This window comes from Homo sapiens, chromosome 9, assembly GCF_000001405.40.
Source record: "Homo sapiens chromosome 9, GRCh38.p14 Primary Assembly".
NCBI lineage: Eukaryota > Metazoa > Chordata > Mammalia > Primates > Hominidae > Homo > Homo sapiens.
The window spans coordinates 132,202,797-132,227,481 of NC_000009.12; the positions used below are offsets into that span (position 1 = coordinate 132,202,797).

General features: G+C 52.0%; 1 protein-coding gene across 22 annotated transcripts in view, besides 3 other annotated features; it reads left to right on the forward strand.

Moving 5' to 3' along the window:
* NTNG2 (netrin G2) overlaps positions 1-24,685 on the forward strand; it is an 82,838-nt gene that overhangs the window by 41,108 nt on the left and 17,045 nt on the right. For 21 of the 22 annotated variants that reach the window (XM_011519096.3, XM_017015213.2, XM_047423970.1 and 18 more), the window contains one exon: positions 24,053-24,225. In XM_011519096.3, coding sequence (XP_011517398.1) covers positions 24,053-24,225 — 173 coding nt within the window. Of the gene's footprint in view, positions 1-5,967; positions 6,070-24,052; positions 24,226-24,685 lie in introns of those variants that run through there. The other variant, XM_017015216.2, reaches the window with a different exon arrangement.
* Positions 4,546-5,221: an enhancer, noted in NCBI's record as "H3K4me1 hESC enhancer chr9:135082729-135083404 (GRCh37/hg19 assembly coordinates)". NCBI's record gives its function as "activates a minimal SCP1, AML or CMV promoter by ChIP-STARR-seq in primed H9 embryonic stem cells {active_cell/tissue: H9 hESC(primed)}" and the evidence as "EXISTENCE:reporter gene assay evidence [ECO:0000049][PMID:30033119]".
* Positions 5,222-5,897: an enhancer, noted in NCBI's record as "H3K4me1 hESC enhancer chr9:135083405-135084080 (GRCh37/hg19 assembly coordinates)". NCBI's record gives its function as "activates a minimal SCP1, AML or CMV promoter by ChIP-STARR-seq in naive H9 embryonic stem cells {active_cell/tissue: H9 hESC(naive)}" and the evidence as "EXISTENCE:reporter gene assay evidence [ECO:0000049][PMID:30033119]".
* Positions 10,865-11,609: an enhancer, noted in NCBI's record as "H3K27ac-H3K4me1 hESC enhancer chr9:135089048-135089792 (GRCh37/hg19 assembly coordinates)". NCBI's record gives its function as "activates a minimal SCP1, AML or CMV promoter by ChIP-STARR-seq in naive H9 embryonic stem cells {active_cell/tissue: H9 hESC(naive)}" and the evidence as "EXISTENCE:reporter gene assay evidence [ECO:0000049][PMID:30033119]".

Genomic DNA, 24,685 nt, shown 5'->3' on the forward strand with positions numbered 1-24,685 from the left:
GGGAGGCTTGGGGTGAGGTCCAGAAGGCTGTGTCTTTGCAAAGCTCCTCAAGTGAGCTGGAAAGGTGGAAGCTGCTGCATCCATGGAGATGGATGACTGTAACCTGTTGGAACCTCAGTTTTCTCATCTGCAAAATGGAGAAATAGTAATGACTTCAGCTGCCTGTTGTGAGGAGTCGATGAAATGCTATATTCAAAGAGCTTATCCCAGTGTCTCATTCCTCTGGTTAGACGGTGGGAGAGGGAAGTGGGGGAGGCTTGGGGTCAGGGCTGCCTAGATATGAGGCCATTCCTGCACCCACCCCAGGTACTAGAAGGAGTGTGGAAGCATGCCTCTGGGTTCACAGGGGTTGCAATCCCAAATGTCTGCAGAGGCTGGAAACACAACTTACGTGGAAGCCAGGCATGGTGGTGTGCGCCTGTAGTCCTAGCTACTTGGGAGGCTGAGGCAGAAGGATTATTTGAGCCTGGGAGGTTGAGGCTGCAGTGAGTTATGATGGTACCACAGCACTCCAGCCTGGGTGACAGAGAGAGATCCTGTCTCTAAAAAAATAATAATAATAAATTCAAATGAATAATAAAAATAATGAGAAGAAGATAATGTACATGGGTACCTATGGTACCAGCGGAAGCGATAGGGAAGGGTGTGGCCTGGGGAGAAATGGAGACAGCAGGCGCCTCACAAGACAGTGGACCAAACATTCCAGATCTTCTGCGGTTACAAAGGAAGGTGCACAGAAGTATCTATGTAAAGTCTCTTGCTTTCAAAAATATTGGCACCTACTTCAAAAAGTTGTTTAAACTCTGTGCAAGGAAAACAAAATACCCCTGCAGCCCAGGGCAGCTCACGAGCTGCCAGGGAGCACCCCTGCTCTGAAATGCTCAGTGTCCTCCTGCAGCCGTGGTAGCAGCTGCATTCGATGGGCCCAAGGCAGGGCCAACACACTGGAGCCAGGGCAGGGGCAAGATAGCAAAACAGCCCAGCCAGCTCTGCCCACTCCAGACCTGGGAGTCAGAGGGAAGGGGGCATCATCCCACGCAAGTTCCTCTGCCCAGAAAACCCAGGAAGCTCCAGGAAGGCAGCCCAGCGGGTCCTTTGCCAGCAGGAACAGGAAAGGAGGAATGAGTTCCCCATTCCTGGAGGTATTCAAGCCCAGTGGGTGGTGTTTGTGGGAGATGATGAAGGGAGGTCCTTTGCACCAAATTAAGGTCTTGTGTGCCCATTCTGTTCAAAAGGAATAAATGTGGATTAAGGGAACAGGAAAGGCAGGTACCATTTATTGGGAACCCATGGGTTACGTGCCAGGCATTGCATCCTCACCCCCTTTCTGCCCAGGAGCAGGCTGAAGTCCTTGAGCGAGAGGAAACCCGTGAGTTCCAAGAGGCTGAGCTGGGCCTGGACGGGCAGATCTGAGCTCCAGACTGGCCAAGCCCGGCTCCTGCAGACCCAGCTTCCCCAGACCCTGTGGGGGTCTAGCTGCTCTATGTCCCTGGGCCTCCCCCAACCTGTTTTTTCCTCAACACCCTCCCCTCTTTCTTGCCTTCTTGTTTTCTTCCATAAACGTCCTGTCCCTATTGATCGCCCCGTAACTGGAGATGGACGGACACCGGACTAGAATAGAAACAGCAGAGGGAAGAAAACCATGGAGGGTGGGCAGGTGGGCGCGGGGAGGGGAGTGCAGAGACAGGCGATTTCAGCCACCCTATTCCTGTACCCACCCTCCCTGCATCTCTTTCTCAGCTGCTCTACAGGAAAAACAGGGGCAAGAAGGGAATTCTGTGATGTTATTCTGCCTGCACTGACTCCTTGAAACTCTGGGAAGGCAGAGACAACTCCCTCAGCAATATTAACTGTCATTCACTGAGAATTCCCATAGCCCAGGTAGCATCCCGAGTCCTTTATGTGCATTTCCTCATTAAGTCCTATCCTGTGAGGATCATTGTCCCCATGACACAGATGAGGAAACTGAGGCCAGGAGGTTGAGATATAGATGGAAGGGCTGGGTGTGGTGGCTCGTGCCTGTAATCCTAGCACTTTGGGAGGCTGACGCAGGAGGATCTCTTGAGTCCAGGAGTTCAAGACCAGCCTGGGCAATATAGTGAGACCCCCATCTCAATGAAAACAAAATAGATGGAGGTACCCATGAGGATGGCTATTATTGGAAAAGCAAAAAATAACAAGTGTTGGCAAGGATGTGGAAAAATCGGAACCTTCATGCATTGCTGGTGGGAACAAAAACGGTGCAGCCACAGGGGAGAACAGTATGGTGGCTCCTGAACAAGTTACATGTAGATTTAGCAATTCCGCTCCTAGGTATAGACCCAACAGAACTGAAAGAAGGGACTTGAACAGATACTTGTACACCCATGTTTATAGCAGCTTTATTCAGAGTAGTCAAAAGGTAGAAACAACACAACTGTTCATCAACAAATGAAGACATAAAATGTGACCCATCCATATAATGGAATATGATTCAGCCTTAAAAAGGAGGGAGAACCTGACACACGCTGCGACACAGATGAACCCTGAGGACATGATGCTAAGTGAAATAAGCCAGACACAAAAGGACAAGTACCATATGATTCTGCTTACCCGACGTCCCCAGAGTCGTCAAATTCATAGAGACAGAAAGTAGAATGGTGGCTGCCAGGGGCTGGGGGAAGGCGGAATGGGGGTTAGTATTTAATGGAGACAGCTTCAGTTTGCGATGATTTAAAGTTCTGGAGAGGGATGGTAACGGTGCTTGCACAGCACTGTGGATGTGCTAATGCCACCAGACTGTACACTTAACAATGGTAAGGTGGCTGGGCGCGGTGGCTCATGCCTGTAATCTCAGCACTTTGGGAGGCCGAGGCGGGCGGATCACTTGAGGTCAGGAGCTCAAGACCAGCCTGGCCAACATGGCAAAACCCCATCTCTACTAAAAATACAAAAATTACCTAGGTGTGGGAGCGGGTGCCTGTAATCCCACCTACTTGGGAAGCCGAGACAGGAGAATCACTTGAACCAGGGAAGTGGAGGTTGCAGTGAACTGAGATCGCACCACTGCACTCCAGCCTGGGCAACAGAGAGAGACTCCATCTCAAAAGAAAAAAACATGGTAAGGTGATAAATATATACGTATATTTTAGCACACTAAAAAATGAAGGAAATAGATGGGTGGGTGGTCTCCATGTCAGACTGTCCAGGTGCAAATTCTGGATTAGGTGTGACCCTGGGCAAGTTGTCTAACCTGTCTTTGCCTCCTTCCCACCTCCACAAAATGGAGACAATCACCCTGGAGTTTAAGTGAGACCATCCAGAGAGAGGAGCCACAACTGTCAGGGATACAGAGAAAGAACAGCAGATCACAGAGGGCCTGGAGGTTCTTCTACTGGGGCCTATGGGCTCTTAGGAGCGCAAAGGGTGGGTTTCAATCATCCATGGACTCCCTGAAATATATGCTAAGTGTTGTGTGTGTGCAGTCAGTTGGTGAGAGCCCCTAGTTTTTGTTCCATTCTCAAAGGGGGTCCATGATCCCAAAATATTTGGAGAGTCCCTGGAAAGGCAGCTTTGTGTTCTGCTTTTCATTTTTTAAACCCAACTCTTGGCCGGGCGTGGTGGCTCACGCCTGTAATCCCAACACTTTGGGAGGCCGAGGCAGGTCCATCACCTGAGGTCAGGAGTTCAAGACCAGCCTGACCAACATGGTAAAACCCTGTCTCTACTAAAGATACAAAATTTATCCAGGCGTGGTGGCGTGCACCTGTAATCCCAGCTACTCGGGAGGCTGAGGCAGGAGAATCACTTGAACCCAGAAGGCGGAGGTTGCAGTGAGCCGAGATCGTGCCATTGCACTCCAGCCTGGGTGACAGAGCAAGACTCCGTCTCAAAAAAATAAATAAATAAATAAAATAAACCCAACTCTTTGGGGACACCCAGCTCTTTGGGGACAGACATTTTGTTAAGTACAGTTCACACACCTTCAACTGCATCTCCCAGGCCCCCTGAGCTACTGCTTCCCACCAAAAAGCGGGCATGCACGATTCCAGACCACATCAGCCTCCACTGAGAAGTGCCGGTGTTGGGAAGGGGCCAGACTATGCTGAAGAGTTGGGGGGTGGTGGGGTCCACTGCCAAGGCAGGTGGTTGACCCCTGGACCTGCGGTCTCCTCTGGTCTTTGGCTCTGCTCCACTGCTGGGTGGGGCGGAGAGGGCAGGAGGGGCATCTCGGCCTTGGCCAGGGTCACAGGAGGCTTGGGGAGCCCTGCAGGTGCTTGGGAGAGAGTCACGCACAGCAACGCCTTCCCAGCAGCACTAGGCAGAATCGGGGTTCCCTCTTCTCTTGCCTAAGAAGGCATTTCCTCTGCGAGCTTTCTCGCCATCATATTAATTCACTCAACAGATGTTTTTTCTCAGACCTTGCAGGGATGAATTAACACATATTTCTAATGGGCACTGCCTTGGTTTCTTGGAGCCTCCATAACTAAGTACCACTAACTGGGTGGAGGTCAGGAGTCTGAAATCAGGGTGCAGCTGGCTTCGCTGTGGAACCTGCAGAGGGGAATCTGTCCCATACCCTCCGCCCTCCGCTCGCTCCTGGTGGGGCCGGCAGCCTCTGGCGTTCCTGGGCTTGCAGCTGCGTCACTCCAGTCTCTGCCTTGTCTTGCGGCTGTCCGCTCCCTGAGCATCTGTCTTACACGCTGTCTCCCCGTGTCTCTTCCTACAGGGACACCAATCACATCGGATAAGGGCCCGCCCTCCTGCAGCATGACCTCAGCTTAACTTACATCCTCATCCACATCCACAAAACCCCGTTTCCATGTAAGGTCACATTCATAGGCACTGGGGGTCAGGATGTCAACATATCTTTTCGGGAGACACGATTTGGCCCACAGCAGGCACCTATGACATGCTGGACACAAGCAGGGTGCCAGGGTCCAAGAGCATGGAGGGGCTGACGCTCCCGTAGTGGGAGAGCAGAAATCAACAAACCCAGTACCCCCAAGTGCCCACAGGTGCACGGTGAGAAAGAAACCAGGGCAAGGCCAGGCACGGTGGCTCACGCCTGTAACCCCAGCACTTTGGGAGGCTGAGGCTGGCGGATTGCTTGAGCGCAGGAGTTCAAGACCAGCTTGGGCCACATGGTGAAACCCCATCACGACAAAAAATACAAAAATTAGCCAGGCATGGTGGTGTGCGCCTGTGGTCTCAGATACCTGGGAGGCTGAGGTGGGAGGATTGCTTGAGCCCAGGAAGTCAAGCCTGCAGTGAGTTATGACTGTGCTACTGCACTCCAGCCTGGGCAACAGAGCGAGACCCTATCTCAAAACCCAGGGCAATATGGGAGTGGAGCTGGGAACCAACCTGAGACCTGGACCCAGGGGTCAGGGAAGGCCCTCCAGGGAGGGGGGCTTTGAAGGAGAAACCTGAAGGGGGAACGGGGGCACGGCATTTGTGGCAGGGGGACAGCAGGCAGGACAGGTGCAGTGCCTTCTAAGGACTCAGTGTGATGTGGCTGTGGTGGGTGAGTAAGATTCCAAAGAAGAGCAGGCAGGGCCAGATCACGCCAGCCCTGCAGCCCCGGGAGGAAGTTGGTTTTGGTTGAAGTTTGGTAGGAGGGCTACAGGCAGGGGAGAGGTGTGATCTGATTTCCGGTGTTTGGAAATCTGAGTTGGGGGTGGCGGTGCTGGAGGCCTGCAGGAGACTGGGCGGGCCCTACCAAGACTGACAGCAGCCTGGCCGGGTTCTGGCAGGGACAGGGGCTGTGATGTGGGCCGCCTGGAGGTGGTCTTTGGTGGCAGTGTTGCTGAGTAGCTGATGGGAGCAGGCGGTGGGAGGCATCATGGAGGACTCCCAGGCATCTGGCTTTGAGACACTGGGTGGATGGAAATTTTGCCTTGTCAAATGGGGACAGAGGTGAGGGGATTTTCTGGAGGGGAATTTTTTTTTTATTTCTTAATTTTTTATTTTTATATTTTCATACAGCAAAGTGGACCTTTTGGGGGTACAATTCTAGGAATTTTAGCACGTGGATAGAGTCATGCAACCACCACCACAGCCTGGGCCCACAACAGCCCGTCTCTCCAAGAACTCCCGTCCCGAGACCCCTGGAAGCCCCCATCCTGCTCCCTGAAAATCTGCTGTAAGTGGAGTCGTGCGGCAGGTGGCTTTTTCAAGGGGTCTCCTTCGTTCTCACTGTGCCTCTGAGGCTTATGGCGTGGCCGCCTGCGTGGCTCGGGCTCCTCACTCCTGAGTAGGACTGTGCCGTGTGCACTGCACACCGTGGTCTGTTTACCCATTCTCCGTGGAAGGACGTTTCGGTGGCTCCCAGTCTGGGGCGATTATGAGTAGAGCTGCTATAAACATTCGTGGAAAGGTTTTTGGGTGAACATAAGTTTTCGCTTCTCTTGGGTAAACACCCAGGTGTGGACGGCTGGGTCGTCTGGTGAGCGTGTTTAACTCTATGAGAAACTGCCAGGCCGTCTTCCAGCGCGGCTGTGCACTGGAGGAAGCCTGACTTCTATTTTGGACCTGTTGGTTGTGAGCGTTTTGGAGGCATCCGGAGCATTTGGGCCTCTGAGTGTGAAGCGCAGGCGAGACTGGGCGCGGGGAGTCCTGAGCTCCGCGGTGACGATGACGCCCGCCGTGGGGGCGTGCGAGACTTCCGAGAGGAGAGCCGGGGAGCCGGGCGGGCTGCAGCCCTGAGATCAGAGACAGGGGGAATCTGGCAGGGCGGTGCCCCAAAGCCACGCGGGAGCGGTTCCTGCAGGGCAGCGGCCACCTGTGTCCATGCTGCGGCGGGTCCAAGTGGAGGAGGCCAGCGTGGGCCCATGGACCTGGGAAGATGGAGGTCACAGTAGACGCACCCAGAGCAGAGCCCGGGAGTCCGGGATGAAGGCCGTCGTGGGGTGGTTTCAGGGGTGAATGCCAACACTTTTAAAAGAGTGAAATAGGGGTAAAAAAGAGGGGGTGTAGGCAAGCTTTTGAAAACGTTTTGCTCGGAAGGGGAGCAGAGAGATGGGGTGTGAGCTGCTGGGGGAATGGGGAGGGGAGAGGGCTCTTCCTGAAAGGCGGGAGGCGCGGCAGCGTTGGCGTTGGGATGGGAAGAATCCACCAGGACTGAAGATAGCTGTGGGGAGGGCGGGAGGGACGCTGGGGACAGGAGCCGAGGAAGTGATCGGGGTGGGCGGAGAGCTGACAGGACAGAGGGCCCACCAGCATGTGTAAGGAGGAAAGGCTGACTGATTTCATATTTAGGTCAGAAACCCTGCTTCTAACACCTTCTAGAGACTCCATGTCCATCTTGACAACCCAGGGTGGCCCACCCTGGTGGCTCACAGAAGTCCCTTTGTCCTGAGTAAAGAGTGGCACATCACGGTGCCAGCGAGCAGCCTGCCTGAGATTCCAGCTCTTTCCATTTGCTCTTTTCTGGCAAGTCTCTTCCATTTCTCCAGGCCTCAGTTTCCCCACCTGTAAAATGGGATCCCGCTCTTGTAAAGATTGTCTGAGACTTGCCCGCTCAAGTCCCAGTACTCAGGAGGTGCCTGAGGAAGGGGAGCCATTGATCCCTTGAAGGAGTCGGTATTTTGTCACCTGAACACACAGACCATGTTCCTCCGTCACTCGCCTGGGGCTGAGTGGAATTCCTTGGCTTTATCTCCAGCTCTGTCCTCTGTCCCTTCATCAGTCAACAGTCATGCAGGAATGAGAAGCTCAGTTCATAGTAGGTATAGCCAAAGGTACTTTGGAGGAGAGTGCTGCTGCCAACAGCGGACGGGGGACTGAGCCCCACCCAGTTCTGCCTGGGCCACTCCCTCTGGGTCTGTGGCCATGACACCCGGCAGGCTCCTGTCCCCCCGACCCCAGCTCTGTGGCTTGCTGGGCCTCACCAGCTGCGATTGGGCAGGACAGATGGGGTTGGAGAGGGGAAGTTGAGTGGGGAGAGGACAGGCCACATCCAGGCTCATCCTCAGGCCTTGTTCTGCCCCTGGGCTGGGCTGCCTCCCTCCACATCTCAGCAGAGGGAGCGTGGGGTGGGTCATTGTAGAGGATCCCTGGCCCTTCATCCCATGTGAAGCCTGTTTTAGACTCACAGATGCTCCCTTAGATGTACCCGCCAAGTCACACACACACGCAGCCATTCACTCATCTGTAACATGCCCCTGACTCACACATAAACACACACCTGCCCCACCCACACATGTGAATCCGCTTCCAGAAGCACCCAGTCATAGACACATCACACTCCACATGGCTGCCTTGCACCCCTGCTCACAGACGCGGACCCACAGGGTGAGCGGAGGCCTCCGCAGCAGCCCGGGGTTCACCAGAGGCCTTGGCTTGACTGCCCTGGGCTCAGGGCTTCTCTGTGCTTCTCCCCCATGTTGAGGCACCCACTTCATGCTTGGGTTCCTGGAGGCCTCTTTCCACTCTGTGGGACAAAGCCCCCTCTGGGCTTCTAACCATCCCTCCATCCCACTCTCAGCCTGAACTAGGTCCCAAGGTGGACCCCCTATCAGCAGCCTTGCCCCCTAGAAGAGAGGTGCAGGCTGGCGTCAGGATTTGGTTTCGGGACATGACTGGCCTCCCTCCCTCCCTTCAGTCTTGCCCTTTCTGTAGTTTTTTGTCCCTAAACACAAACCCAGTCACTTCTCTGCACAATATCTCTAGTGGTCTTCTACTGACCTTAGACTCAAGTCTGTGCTCTGTGACCACAGACTTTCCCTCTCACCTCCTTCTGTAGCCTGGGCTCTGAGACTCCCAAGATCAGCCACCCCAAAGGCTGGGTCTCTCGGGCTGGCCTAGGGGCTAGTCCTTCTGCCTGGAACATGACCTAGCCCTCCCCAGCCTTCCTGTCTGGCAAACTCCTCACCCCTCAGGACTTGGCTCAGAGAGCACCTCTCTGGAGCTCCTGAAGGCTGGAGACCTGTGCAACCAGCCCCTCGGTCCCCTTCTCCAGCCTTGGCGGCTTGTGACAATTCCACAGCCTTGCCATAGCTACCATAGCTATGCACGTACACGTCTGACACCCGCCCCCATAGGCTCTGAGCTCCAAGGGAGCAGGGATGGGGTCTGGCTTGTTCTCACCTTAGCACCAGCACCCAGAACCAGGTAGGCGTGCTGTATATGTGTGGAATTCATTCATTCATTCAGTCAGTCAGTCATTCATTTATTCATTCATGAACAAATGAACTTACATGAACAAAGAAGTCTTACTATCTGGAACTCTTTCCAGAGAAGAAAGAGACTGGAATATAGGCGCTAGGAGGCAGAGAGGCAGGACCAGCTGGGCTTGCTAGCACCCACCCTTGTCGCCTCCCACCCTTCCACCATCACACCCTGCTCCTTCTCCTGTTTTCCTTGTGTGAGAAATGGGCCTCTCTGGGCTACCACCTGGGCCTGGTCCTTCCCTCGGGGGTGTTGGGCCTTCCTGCAGGGGAAGAAGAAACCTTGCTGAAGTCAGCTAGGCTGCTTAGGCTGGGGGTGCCTTCGCAGGCCCTGGTCATACCCACCGTGTCACCCCTAAGCCGCACACCCAAGCCTCCCAGCACCCGCCCGTCAGCCTCTGTGTTGTGTGCAAGGAAGCTGCCTCTGGCTTTGTAATGGGTAATAGGATTTATCAATAGACTGAGGAGGTGAGGTATGTTAAAGCACTTAATAGAAAAGGGCTTCGCACAGAAGCCCAAATTTGATTTAGCCAATGAACTCAATTGCCGGCCTGATTGCGTTCCAGGAGGCGCAGCAGCCAGCATTTGTCCATGTTACCCTGGAAAAGCCAGGCTGCGCCAGGCGACCAACCCAGACCACCCAGACCTCCCCTCTGCCCCCACGGCTCTGTTGTTGGTTCCTCGCTTTCTCAGGATCTCAGGTTTGAATGGCAGTCCTTTGACCCAAACAGTCCCAAGTTCTCCAGCATCCAACAGCCTCCTTCCCTCTAGTGCCCAAGGCTTCCCCATCCCATGAATTAGCTAGAAGTGCAGTTTGCTACCATGTTCCTTTCACCATGATCCTCAAATCCGTGTGTCCCCTGGTCACTTGTCACCTCTTACTCAAGCTGGCCTCTGCAGGCTTCCCTCCTGACCATTTGTTTCTTCTCTGGCTGCTGCCCATCTCCCCACACTGCTTGCCTGAGCCAAGGACACATCTCTCCCAACCCCCCAAAGAAGACCAAGATCCCCAGGCCACAGTGTTTCATGACGTCTTGACTCAGGCCTGGGCATAGCAGATGGGAATTACCATGTAGAAAAGAAGGACTTGAGGCCGGGCACAATGGCTCATGCCTGTAACCTCAACAATTTGGGAAGGCAGATCACCTGAGGTCGGGAGCTCAAGACCAGCCTGGCCAACATAGTAAAACCCTCGTCTCTACTAAAAATACAAAAATAAATTAAAAATTAGCCAAGCATAGTGGTGCATGCCTATAATCCTGGAAACTCAAGAGGTTGAGGCAGGAGAATCACTTGAACTTGGGAGGCGGAGGTTAAAGTGAGCTGAGATCGTGCCACTGCACTCCAGCCTCCAGCCTGGGCGATGACAGAGTAAGACTCCATCTCAAAAAAAAAAAAAAAAAAAAAAAAAAAAAAGAAGGACTTGAGAGGATTTCCATTAGCCATCACCAACCTTGAGGCCGTCCATCGTCCATCCATTGGCCACGGCCACCCACCGGCTGGGGAGGAGAAACCTCTTGGCCATGTAAGCCCGCAGCCCCCTCCCAGGGCAGCATCATTCCTCACTGCAGTCCAGGTCCCCAACCCCAGCTCTGTGAGTCCTCAGAAAGCGAGGGCCCTTGTTGCTTCAGCCTCCTCCTTCATCCTGCAGAACACGCCAGCCTCCCTTGTGAGCATCTCCAAGCCACCGTAAGATCTGGGATTTGCTTTAGGTTATTTTGCCCATAACCCAGAGGCTCATGAAAAATGTTTTTTCCCAAAACAAAAGAACACTCTTCACCCAAAGATAAATGCGCTATCTGGCAAGAGAAATTGGAAAACATTGCTGGCTGTGTTAAAATAGTAGTCTAACTTTAGCCCCCAAGGTACCAGAGCTCTGCGAGGCCAGTCTCAGTATACACGACATGTAATAATGTGGGGACGGGTGGTAACATACCAGGAAAGAAGGACCAGGCAATGTGATTAATGACCAGGAACCCCCATGGTCCTGCAAAGAGGTGCTTTGAGACAAGTTGGGGACTAGCTCTCCCAGCCCAGCACCTGCCCACCCCAGTTCAGAGCCATTGCCGTGAACACTCTGAAATCCCCGTGGGGCTTTGCCTTTGCAGAGAGCCAGCCCTGGGGCCTCCTCCTCCCTGCCCAGCTCCAGCACCATCCCTGGCTCGCTCACCCAAACTCACCGCTTCCTCCGTCATTCCCCGCAAGGAGTGGATGACATCACTCTTTCCGGCAGCCAGGAGTTGACCTACATTCCACCCGCCCTCCTGTCTGGGAGACTCTCCAAACCCCCCGCTCCTCTCTCCCTGGGAGGAGGGAAGGGCCCCGCTCACGATTTTTGTGGAGTGACGGTGCCAGGCCCGGGTCCAGATGGTGCCCCCGCAGCAGCTCCCAGGCACTGCCTGCCCCTCCCTGCAGCGCAGGGCACGCTCCTGCCTGGCACGGGCCAGGGCCCCTGTCATCCTTCATGTGGCTGTCAGGCCCCCAGCTGGGCCTGCCACGTTTCCCAGAGAACTGGTGTTATCTGGGCTGGGCTCTCCCCTGGAGGTGAGGCCCGGTGCTGCCTACTAACAGTTGTGGTCTCCAGGGGCTTACTAGGGACTCATCCATTCAAGAAAAAGGGAAACTTAGCTGAAAAGGTGGCTGTGGCTCTGTCCTTGCTGGCAGCAGGGCCAGCTTCCAGCAAGCAAGTGAGTGCGCCCCATGTCAGGCCGTGAGAGAAGTCAGGGTCTGAGCAGAGGGGCCAGACAGCCACACGGGTGAGCCGGGTAGCAGGTGGGCCTGCCAGATGAAATACGGGATACCCAGTTAAACCTGAATTTCAGATAAACAAGGGAATCGTTGTTTTTTAGGGTAAGTATGTCCCAAATATTTCATGGAATATACTTGTACTAACAAAATCATTAGTTATTTATCTAAAATTCAAAAAAAATTTTTTTTTTTTTTAGAGACAGGGTCTTGCTCTGTCACCCAGGCTGAAGGGCAGTGCAGTGGCACAATCACGGCTCACTGCAGCCTCAACCTCCTGGACTCAAGCGATCCTCCTGCCTCAGCCTCCGAAGTAGCTAAGATGACAGGTGCTCACCACCATGCCCTGATAAATTTTGTGTTTTTTTTAATTTTTTTGTAGAGATTGGGGGGGGGGGTCTCACTTTCTTGCCCAGGCTGGTCTCAAACTCCTGTTCTCAGGTAATCCTCCTGCCTGGGCCTCCCAGAGTGCCCAGATTACACGCATGAGCCACTGCACCAGGCCTAAAATTCAAATGTAACTCAGTGTCCTGTATTTTTATTTGGGAAATCTGGCAACCATTGTGGCATGGGGCTCTGTGGGGAAATGACTCCAAGAGGCCAGTGGGGGCCAGGCATGGTGGCTTATACCTGTAATCCCAGCATTTTGGGAGGCCGAGGTGGGCGGATCATTTGAGGTCAGGAGTTTGAGACCAGCCTGGCCAACGTGGTGAAACCCCATCTCTACTAAAATACTAAAATTAGCCGGGTGTGGTGGCGGGCGCCTGTAATCCCAGCTACTCGGGAGGCTGAGGCAGGATAATTGCTTGAACCCAGGAGGTGGAGGTTGAAGTGAGCCAAGATCGAACCACTGCACTCCGGTCTAGATGACAAAGCGAGATTCCATCTCAAAATAAGTAAATAAATAAAGGATAAATATCTGGCAATATGTTACTGAATCCTCCAAGAGGCCAGGGGGTGTGTCACCTCTTGGGGCGCCCCAGGGGCCTGGAGAATAGGTTGATTATCTCTATTTTGGGGAGCTGCAGGCTCTGAGAGAGGCTCTGGGGTGGGTGTTGGACGGGACAGCATGAATAAGGGGCCCTGCCCTTGGGGTCAGGCACCTCAGGGCTGCCAGGTAAGGCCGATCTTGGCACCTGGGAGCCCATGTACTCTCATCTCCGTCCCTCCCTCTATCACCTGTTGGCTGTTGACAATAGCAACAATAATAATAGCTGACGTTTCCGGAGGGCATGCTCTGTGCCAGACCCAGTGCTGAGCCCTCGAGGGTACCAGCTCAGCTTGCCCTTCCCTGACCCTTGACAGTCCTGCCACATGGAAACAGCCACTTCCTAGGGTTACAGGACACCGACTGATTCCCCAAGGCTGGTCACCTTCCTGCCTTTGCCTAGCTTGAGGGGTCAGAGGTTTGAACCCGACTGTCTGGCCACCGCGCTACCTGGTGCTGCAGCCCAGCCGTGACACTCACCGGCCTTTAACCCAGCAGGTGCTCCATGCCGGTTGCTGCACACAGAGCTCCCATGCATTATCCCCTTCCTCCCTTGCTTCTTTCTGCAAACATTGAGCACCTACTGTGTGCCAGGCAGTGTGTTAGACATTTACCAAAAATTAAACCCAGAGAAGTGACTTGCTCAAGGTCACCTAGCCAATCAGTAGCAAAACCTGGGTAAGAATCTGGCTGCTGACTCAGCCTCTCTCTCTCTCTCTCTCTCTCTCTCTCTCTCTGTGTGTGTGTGTATGTGTGTGTGTGTGTGTGTGTGTGTGTGTGTGTGTGTGTGTCCCATGGAGCGTTCTTGCTGCCGTCTGAAGAGCTAAAGCCGTAGGATTCTGCAGTGGGGCAGGGGTGGAGAGGGAACAGCCCTGGTGGCCTGGGAGGGGTCCGCTGGCCTCATGGGCTGGCCAGCATGCCCTATCTCTATGTTCATTATTAAATCATCCTTTCTGATGGATGAGCTGAAAAGTGCTGTGTCGGGGGATCAGGTGGCCCAGGTGATGGTTTTCTGGTGAGATTGATGGTTCCTGAGGGTCAAATTCAGAGAGCGATCGCTTGGGAAAATTGATCCCACAGAAGAAGGGGAAATATCTGGGCTGGAGTGCAGCAGGAGCCCAGACTGCCCGCCCAGGTCCAGATCCAGGCAGAGGCTGGTGCCAGGAGGGCACGTGGCAAAGGGGGCTTCTTTCTTCTTCTGTGGCTGCATTTCCTTGGCTGTGGCTGGGCCACAGAATTGGTAAGCAGGGCCATGGGCAGCAGGCATGGGGGCATCTGGCTTAGTGGCCCCTTTCCTGGCCTTCTTTGTCCCCATGGAATGGACGCGAAGCCAGCACTGAGAGAGACGCAGGCAGCAGGTGGCTGTGAGATCCAGCTCTAGTGCCATGCAGCCCCGAGTGCCAAGCCTGCTTCTTCCACCCACAGCCCTGGCCCTTGACCCATCTGAGCCTCGCATTCTCACCTGTAAAGTGGGAAGGACAGTGCCTTCTGCGTTTTCACGAGGATTTGTTTAATAATGCATGGCGTCTGTCCACGTAGGAGCACTCAGCAAATTATTTCTATGTGCTTGCTTATTTATTTCATTTACTTCATCTCCCGAGGGCCTTCCAGAATAGGGCAGAGAAATCACAGAAGGCAGGCAGCCTGAGGCAGGGAGGGGAAGGGTGTGCCTGTGTCTGGGGGAGCTGTGGGGTGGCTGCAGTTCCAGGAGCCTGAGTCTATCCAAGAGCCAGCACACTGAGACTCTTCAGGCTCTGCCCACTGCCTGCCCACTTCCTAAAGTGGGGTTCACCAGCTGTGTGGCCTTGGGCAAGTTGCTTAACTTCTCTTGCCTCATTTCCTTGTCTGTGAAATAGAGATAGTCATAGTATACTCTGCATAAGGTTCCTGTGAAGAGGTGATAACTTCACTTGTTGAAAGCTCTGAGGATCCCTGGCTCTAGGAGCTCCTGAGTATAAGAAATGGAAAACTGGCATGTCCTAGGCACCTGTTTGTCTCATGCAAGAGCTTTATAGACCGTCTCCCACTTGATCCTTCCAACAACTCCATGAGGCAGGTGTTACTGCCATCCTTATTTTACAGATTAGAAAACAGGCCAAGTGAAATTCAGCAACTTTCCTGAGGTCACACAGTCGTTGGCAGAACATCCCAGGCCAGTGGGGCCCAGGGGATGGGGTTACCATCTCTCAGTCACCCAGAAAGACAAAAGGAAGGCACACAAACCCCAGTGGGCACCGCTCTGTGCCAGGGCTTTTGTTTCACCCCAACCGTGATGAGTGTGGGTGATGTGGCCGGTGTGGTCCATATCGCTCCTCAGGGCCAGTGTCACTGGTGTGCGTGGCAGCCTGTGGCATACACAAGATATTGTTTCCCGCTCTTCAGGTGAGAAAAGCGAGACTCAGGTTGGCTAAGAATTTGTGCAGGCCACACAGCTGTGTGCACCATGAGCTGGGCAGAAGCCCTGCCCACCAGCACCATGGGGGCTCCCGGCTCCTGCCACACAGGCCACCCGGGAGTGCAGACACTAAGTGTGGCTCTGAATCGAGCTGCTTGGATTCAAGTCCTGCGTCTGCCCCTTACCAGCTGTGGAACCTCAGGCAGCTCACTTCACCACCCCAAGTCTCAGTTTCCCCATCTGCACAACGAAGATAATAATGACATGTCATTCAGGGGATTGCTGTGAAGGGCTAATGTTCTAATTCGGGTGGCACTCTCAGAACAGTTCCTCATGCAAAGTGAGCACTCACGCATCAGCTGTCTACCCAGGAGACTTCCTTTGAGGCACAATGTGATAGCGTTTTGTTTTTTTGTTTTTTTTGTTTTTCTGGTTTTTTTGAGACCAAGTGTTGCTCTTGTCCCCCAGGCTGGAGTGCAATGGCATGACCTCGGCCTACTGCAACCTCCACCTGTTGGGTTCAAGCGATCCTCCTGCCTCAGCCTCCCGAGTAGCTGGGATTACAGGCGCATGCCACCACACCCAGCTAATTTTTGTATTTTTAGTAGAGACGGGATTTCACCATGTTGGCCAGGCTGGTCTCGAACTCCTGACCTCAGGTGATACACCCGCCTCGGCTTCCCAAAGTGCTGGGATTACAGGCGTGAGCCAACGCGCCCGGCCCCAATGTGATAGGTTTATAAAAATAGGAAAACAAATCTCTGAAGATTTTTAGGAGAGATACTGCAAGAAAAGCCTGGAAGCTGTAAGCCCTTCCCTGTTTCCACACATCCCGATCATTCATTCACTCACAGCTTTACCCAGATGTGATTCACACGTTGTACAATCCACACATGTAAAGCGTACAATTCAGTCGCTTTTAGGTTATTCACAGAGTTGTGCAACTATCACCACAGCAGACTTTAGAACATTTCCATCACCCTAAAAAGACACTCTGGCCGGGTGTGGTGGCACACGCCTGTAATCCCAGCTACTTGGGAGGCTGAGGCAGGAGAATCACTTGAACCCAGGAGGCAGACATTGCAGTGAGCTGTGATCGTGACACTACACTCAGCCTGGGTGACAGAGCAAGACTCTGTCTCAAAACAAAAAAAAAAAAGAAAAAAAAAGTCATCTACCTATCCTAGACATTTTGTGTAAATGAAATTATACAAGATGGCTGGGCACGGTGCTTCATGCCTATAATCCCAGCACTTTGGGAGGCCCAACTGGGAGGATCACTTGAGGTCAGGAGTTTAAGATTAGCATGGCCAACATGGCAAAACCCCATCTGTACTAAAAATACAAAAATTAGCTAGATGTGGTGGTGGGTGCCTGTAATCCCAGCTACTTAGCAGGCTGAGGCAGGAGAATCACTTGAACCCAGGAGGTGGAGGTTGCAGTGAGCCAAGATCATACCACTGTACTCCAGCCTGGGTGACAGAGCAAGACTCTGTCTCAAAAAAAAAAAAAAAAGAAAGAAAGAAAGAAAGAAATTATACAATATGTAGTCTTTCATCACTGACCGCTTTCACTTGGCATAATGTTTTCAAGGTTCTTCCATGTCATAGTGTGGATCAGTATTTCATTACTTTTTCTGGCTGTATAGTATTCATTGCCTGCTTACACATTTTGTTTTTCTGTTGATGGATATTGGGTTGTTCCCACCTTTTGACTATTATTAGCAATGCTGCTATCAACATTCATGTACACATTTTGTGTGGACATGTTTTCGTTTCTCTTGGTTATATACCTAGGTAGAATTACTGGGCAACTCTAAGTTCACCTTTTGTAGAACTTCCAGACCACTTTCCAAAGCAGCTGCACAATTTTACATTCCCACCAGCAGCGTATGAGGGTTCTGATTTCTCTGCATCCTCACCAGCAGGTGATTATCCGTCTTTTTGACTCTGCCTATCCTGGTGAGTGTGAAGTGGTATCTCATTATGGCTTTGGTGTGCATTTCCCTGATGGCTGTAATGTTGAACATGTTTTCATCTGCTTCTTGGCCATTTGTATGCCTTCTTCGGAGAAATGTCTGTGCTGATCCTTTCCTCATTTTAAAAACTGGATTATTTGTCATTTTATTATTGAGTTATAAGTGTTCATTAGATGTTCTAGATATAAGTTCCTTTTTAGCTATGTCATGACTTGCAAATTTTTCTCCCATTCTGTGGGTTGTCTTTTCACTTTCCTGACAGTGTCCTCTGAAGTACAAAAATATTTAGTTTTGATGAAGTCTAATTTATCTATTTTTTTTTCTTCTGTTGCTTTTGCTTTTGGCATCCTGTCTAAGAAACCATTGCTTAATTCAAGGTCATGAAGATTTGCTGCTATGTTTCCTTCTTCTTTTTTTTTTTTTTTTTGAGACAGAGTCTCGCTCTGTGCTCAGGCCAGAGTGCAATCTCAGCTCACTGCAACCTCTGCCTCCTGGGTTCAAGTGATTCTCATGCCTCAGGACCTCCCAAGTAGTTGGGATTACAGGCACCCACCACCACACCTGGCTAATTTTTGTGATTTTAGTAGAGACGGGGTTTCACCATGTTGACCAACTTCAACTCCTGACCTCAGGTAACCTGCCTGCCTCAGCCTCCGAAAGTGCTCAGATTACAGGCGTGAGCCACCGCACCTGGCTCCCTACGTTTCCATCTGAGAGTTTTCTAGTTTGCAGCTCTTTGATCCATTTTGAGTTAATTTTTATATGTGATGTGAAGGGTCCAACTTCATTCTTTTTACGTGGGTCTCCCATATTATTTATTTATTTGTTTACCTAATAATTTCTTTAAATTAATATACTTTAAAAATTTGGTTTCACTTAGGCAGTATTTTTGTGATCCCAGGTCTTATGAGTCTGACATTAAAAAAAACATACTGTGTATTCAAAAACAAATAATAGCCTGTAGAGCTGTTTTACAGTCCATGCGCCCATCTCCCCCAGTCATCTCGTACATCCCACTTTGGGAGCCAGTGCTGATCATGATGAGTTTTATGGGGAGGGAGAGTGTAGCAGGGGCTGATTTGAGGTAGGGGTTGTGAAAGGCCTCCCCAAAGAAGTGGCATTTGGCCTAGAATCTGACACCACCTCTAAATATTAGCTCTAGGAGAAGGGGCAGAGCCTGTAGTACATTCCAGGCAGAGGGAACAGCATGTGCAAAGGCCCAGAGAAAAGCAAGATCAGAACATCTGCTGGACAGAGACATGGAGAGAGAGACAAAGAGACAGGAGAAGACGGAGACATGGAGAGAGGGGCACTGAGAGAGCCAGAGAGGCCAAGAGGTCATACACAAACACCATGTCCACACACACCGACACAGAGGCAGTACCACCCACAGTGACCTGCAAAAGTCAGAGAGACCAGAAGCACCTGCATTGACCAGGTGCCATGTGTGTGCCAGCCTTGCCAGCCTTTCCCCACACAGTGCCAGCTCCTCCCTGCAGCCCTGCTAGACAGGGCAATTCTCTCCTTTGGAAGAGGAGGCACTGTGCTTGTTCTGGGGCTCAGCCAGCGAGTTGAAGAGGCCGGGACATCTTCTCCTGTTCCCGAGGAAGACAGGACTGATAGGAGGGGCTGGCCAGGATGGAGCCTGGGCAGAGCCAGCTGGGGAGGGACGTCTGGATTTGGGTCAGGAGAAACCAACTGTATGACTTTGGGCGACTTCTCCCTACCAGCACCACCCAGCCTGTCCAGCTCTGACATCCAATGGCTACCTATTATCACTGTTACAATATGCTTCTTGGATTCGGCCGGTCTTCTATGCATCTTTACTAAGCCAAGGTCAATGTTATCACCCAAAGTTGATGGCAATCTTTTCTTTCGGTAGCTGATATCTAAAAATATCCCTTCCTCAGGCCAGCAGTGCGGAGCACAGCCCCGGTTCCGTACAGCTGAGGTGTTCCTCTCCAGCCAGCTCAGGGGGGTGTTAGATAGGAATTCAGAAGTTGCGAATTAAAACCTCCCCAGGTCAGATTTTGCAGACAAACTCTTGTTAGACAAAGTCAGACAGGTTTCTTCCCTGCAGGTCTTGTCAGAGCCTTTAATCTGCTGAGATGTATTATGACCCTCAGTGGAGTGAGGTAGGATCAAGGAGCAGATGTCAGGGGATTTGGAGAGCATCATATGCTTGACCAAAAAGGTTTAAGCACAGAAACTTTCTGTGCCAAGGACCATCTCTGGGATCTGGCATCTCCAGAAAGAAGGGCCGCCCGTACCAATAGGTGCCTGCTGTCCCCCTCTGTGCCTTTCCCAGAGCTAAGCACATAGCAGTCCTGCAGCACGCATGTGGCAATGGAGGGATGAGAATGCCAGGGAAAGAGTGAACAGGCTTTTTAATGCTCTATTTATTTCAGCTTGGTGTTCCAGTAAAACCTCGGCAGGGTTAGTGTCCAGGCTCTCAGGGGAAGATGGAGTTAAAATCACACAGACTTCAGCGGTGGCTAGTGCTGCTGGCCAGGGCTCTTGCTCTGCCTCAGAATTCTGTTCCAGAGAATTCCAGAGACGTCCTTCGTCCTGGGAACTGAGCATCACGGCACAGTGGATACATGTAACCTAAAGCGGTGGGTTCCTGAGTGCCCCCTCTCCCACGGCCCACCCAGGACCTGCAGGATTCTCTCCTCCTCCTGGGAGGAAAGGCGTCAGCTCAGAAACTCACTGCCTTCTCCACTCTGGCCTGACCTCATGTTTCTAAATAACATTTCTAAAACATGGACTTTAGGCCAGTCGCAATGGCTCACACCTATAATCCCAGCACTTTGGGAGGCTGAGGTGGGCAGATTGCTTGAACTTCAACCAGGAGTTTGAGACCAGCCTGGGCAACACAGGGAGACCCTATCTCCACAAAAAATAAAAATGAAATTAGCCAGGCATGGTGGCACGCGACTGTGGTCCCAGCTACTCGGGAGGCTGAGGAGGGAGGATTGCTTGAGCCCGAGAGGCAGAAGTTGCAGTGAGCCGAGATTGTGCCACGGCACTCCAGCCTGGGTGACAGAGTGAGACTCGGTCTCAAAAAGCAAAAAGACTCCATTGCCTGGATTTACCATAATTTCCCTAACCATTCTGCAGGATAATTCGAGGACAGAGAGAAGACCCCAAGGAGGAAGGCAGCCCTGGTTACCAAAGCTGGCAGATGGGGGTTAGCTGGAAGCCCCAGGGCTGGTGGACGCAGGGGCCGCTGTTTCCCCACCCAGATCCTTGCTCTGGAAGGCGGCCCCCAGGGGACCCTTCATTCCCACTCAGACAGGGACAGAGGCGGGACAGAGCCGAGGGAGGAGGGCTCAGATGAAGCACCTGGCAGGACTGAGATATGAGGGAGGCCGGATGCGAGGAGGGAGCTCTGCAGCCTGTGGTGTCCAGGAGGATTTGGGGAGTGTGAGGTGAGAAAACAAAAAGCGTCACCCCTCCCAGTGGAAGGGGAGCATGAAGAGAGAAGAAAATGCCAGTTACACATCCTCAAAACAATCTCTGAATGGACGAGAGCCAGTCAGGGGGAAACGGAAGTTGCAGTGAGCCAAGATTGTGCCACGGCACTCCAGCCTGGGTGACAGAGTGAGACTCTGTCTCAAAACACAAAAAGATGCCGCACACCCCAGGCGGGACGGGTGGGCCCAGGTGCCCTGCCCTGGTCCAGGCCTCTATTCGCAGGATCTCACTGATCTCTCCCTGCCCAGGCTTTTGTCTCCCAGACAAACCAGTCTCCATGAAGCAGCCACAGCGTTATAAAATATGGCCCAGAGCAGGACACGCCTAACCAGTCAAAGGCTTGCAGAGTAAAATCCCGCCTCCGTCTCCTGGTCTGGCCTCCTCCACCCCCCAGCCTCATTGCAGACCTCACGGGTGGAACTTCTTTCAGCCCTAGGGCTTTCCTCATGCTCTTGCCTCTTTCTAGAAGGTTCTCCCCTTCTGGCCCGGCAACTCTTGATCCTCCTTCAGGTCTTAGTTTAAAACTGTTCTTCCTGGAAACTGTGGACTCCCGTGATGCCTTCTTCTTTGCACAACCCGTGGGCTCTTTTAACAGTTGAACACTGGAAGAGGTGTGTGATTCGTATTGTTATAATTAATAGACTTTATTTTTAGAGCAGTTTTAAGTTTACAGAAAATTGAGCAGATAGTACAGAAAGTTCCCATTTCCCCACCCCCCTGCACAGTTTCCCCTATTTTGGAGTATATGTGTTACAATGATGAGCTAACACTGATACAGTGTCATTCACTAGGGCCTGTTATTTACATTAGGACTCACTCTGTGTTGGACACTTCAGTGGGTTTTGCCATATGCATAATGCCACATATCTACCATTGTGGCATCATAAAGAATGGTTTCACCGCCCTAAAAATCCCTGTGTGCCACCTATTTATCCTCCCTCCCTGTCCCCTCCAATCACTGATTTTGTTCATTGTCTCCCTGCTAGACCCGAAGCACCATCAGGTCAGGGAGCCATCTGCTTTGTTGACATTATACTCACTGTTCCCAGCTCAGAGCCCCTGCCACATAACAGGTGCCTGATAAATATTTTTCTTTGCATATTTTAATAAAAATAGGATTCTACTAAACCCATTGCTCTGCAATTTGCTTTTTCCAAATATTGACAATATATCTTGGAAATCTTCCCATATCAGAATATAGAGCACACTCTGTCTCTCTTTCACTTTTTATTATGGAGAATTTCCAACACAAAAGAAGATGGTGTCTGCCATGATGAACCTCTGTGTACCTCTCACCCGACTGCAGTTACCAACTAGTGAATCTTCTTGTTTCATCTGTACCTCTGCCCATCAGATAATTTCATCTGTAAATATTTCTATGTGTATCTCTCTCTGCTTTTTTTTTTCCTTTTGAGATGTAGTCTCGCTCTGTCTCCCAGGCTGGAGTGCAGTGGTGCAATGGCTCACTGCAACCTCTGCCTCCTGGGTTCAAGCGATTCTCCTGCCTCAGCCTCCCCAGTAGCTGGGATTACAGGTGCACCATCACACTTGGCTAATTTTGTATTTTTAGTAGAGATGGGGTTTCACCATGTCGGACAGGCTGGTCTTGAACTCCTGACCTCAAGTTATCTGCCTGCCTTGGCCTCCCAAAGTGCTAGGAATACAGGCATAAACCACCATGGCTGGCCCTTTTGTTTTGTCTTGTTTTGTTTTTGTTTTTGTTTTGTTTGTTTTTGTTTTGTTTTGTTTTGTTTTTTTTGGAGACAGAGTCTTGCTCTGTCTCCCAGGCTGGAGTGCAGTGGTGCAAACATGGCTTGCTACAGCCTTGAACTCCTGGGCTCAAGGGATCCTCCTGCCCTAGCCTCTTGAGTAGCTAGGACTGCAGGCATGTGCCACCACACTGGCTAATTTTTTTATTTTCTGTAGAAACAGGATCTTACTATGTTACCCAGTCTGGCCTCAAATTCCTGGGCTCAATTGATCCTCCTGCGTCAGCCTCCTAAAGTGCTTGGATTATAGGTGTGCACCACCACGCCTAGCCTGTGTGGTTCTCTAAAAGATAAGGACTTTAAAAAACATAACCACAATATCATCATCACACCTAGTAAACATTAGTATCTAATATAGGCAATGTCCAAATTTCCAGTTATCTCATAAATATACGTTCCATTTGTTTGCGTGTTTGATTTTACAGGATGTTTGAACCAAGGACCAGAGGAGCTTCACTTCTGCCATTAATTGGTATGCTTTTGAGGTTTCTCTTGCTCTAGGTCCATCCTTTTTCCGTATCAATTTTTTCTCCACGCAACTCATCTGTTGGAAGAAGTGGGTCATTACTGCCGGAGTTTCCTCGAGTCCAGATCTTGCGGATGGCATCCCCTGGTGTCGTTCAGGGTGATGCTCTGTCCTCTGTCTTTCCTGTGCGCTCACAGCTGGGTCTAGAGGCTTGATCTGATTCAGGTTCAGTTGCTTTGGCTTCGGGTGGGGGTGTGTTCTTCTAGAGACGCTCACTGTCTGCTGGCCTCTCAGTGGGAAGTTCTGGGCTGGTGCGGCTCAGTGCCTGGAGCTATGCATTCATCAGGGACTGCAAATTCTCTCGTGAAATGCTTCTATAAAAAGAAGCTTCCCCTCATCAACTTTCGGTTACCCCGAGGTACAGTTTATATAGGACAGGCAGGATAAATGCTTGATTCTTTCCCTTTATTTACCAGTTTTCAGAATAATGAGTCGCCTATAAATATTTGAATGAATGGATGAATAATACACCTGTGAATGAACTGACGGGGGTGTGGGAGTTGGGGGTTCTATCTGTTGCCCTCAAGGGCGTGGCTGTGGGCCACAACCTGACAGCAGAGGTCCAGCCTGAAGCCAGGTGCCTTTCTACACAATGAAGTGCAGCCCATGGCCAAGTCTCTGTCTACACCAGGTGCTGGCAGCAGCCTCTGTCACCCATCAACCCACATCAGTCAAAGGCTAGGGTGATCAGAAGCTGCATTACTAAGAATCTAGCATCTGGGACAAGGCAGTATCATCACTCTCCCCAACTGAGATGTGAGGAATCCTTGAAACCAGCATCAGAGCAGAGAGGAGAGCCGCGCAGTGACTGCAGGTGTGGCCTTTGGAACACGGCGTTGATCTCTCTGCAGGAAGGGGAATCAAGGAGTTTCTGGCCTAAAGGTTGGGCTGGTGGCCTCCAGGGTTTCTTCCTGGGCAGCCCAACACCCTCCTGGGCCCCTCCTGGGAGGCGCTCCTTTCCCCAGAGGCCAGGCCAGGCTGCCCACAAGCTCTCTGACATCTCTGCCCTCTCGGTGTCTCCCCAGGTGCAAGTGCAACCTGCACGCCAACCTGTGCTCCATGCGCGAGGGCAGCCTGCAGTGCGAGTGCGAGCACAACACCACCGGCCCCGACTGCGGCAAGTGCAAGAAGAATTTCCGCACCCGGTCCTGGCGGGCCGGCTCCTACCTGCCGCTGCCCCATGGCTCTCCCAACGCCTGTACGTGCCATGCCCCGGGGCCACGAGCCCACATGGCTATAATCTTCCCTGCCCGTCAATCCCAGGAGCTGTGGATCATACACACGCACACAAACCTGCACACAGGCACATACGTGTGCACATGCATGCAAACGTGCACACAGAAACATACGAGCATGCATGCACAGGCATGGGCACACATATGAATGCAAAAACACGTGCATGCACAGAAACACACGTGCGTGCATGCACCCCCACACACACACCTTGTTCTACAGCTCCCAAACGCCAGGTCTCATAACAAGTCCCTCTAGCATACCTGCATCCTGCTGAATGCTAAGCTGCCCTTCCAGCCCTGGTCCACAGGGAAACCCGAGAGGAGCTGCTCAGCAGCATTCCTGCAACCCTTCGCCTTCTTGACCCTGAAGGCTGGCAGGTGGCCCCCATGGGATGGCAGGGAGTGATGGGGTGGGACCCCCAC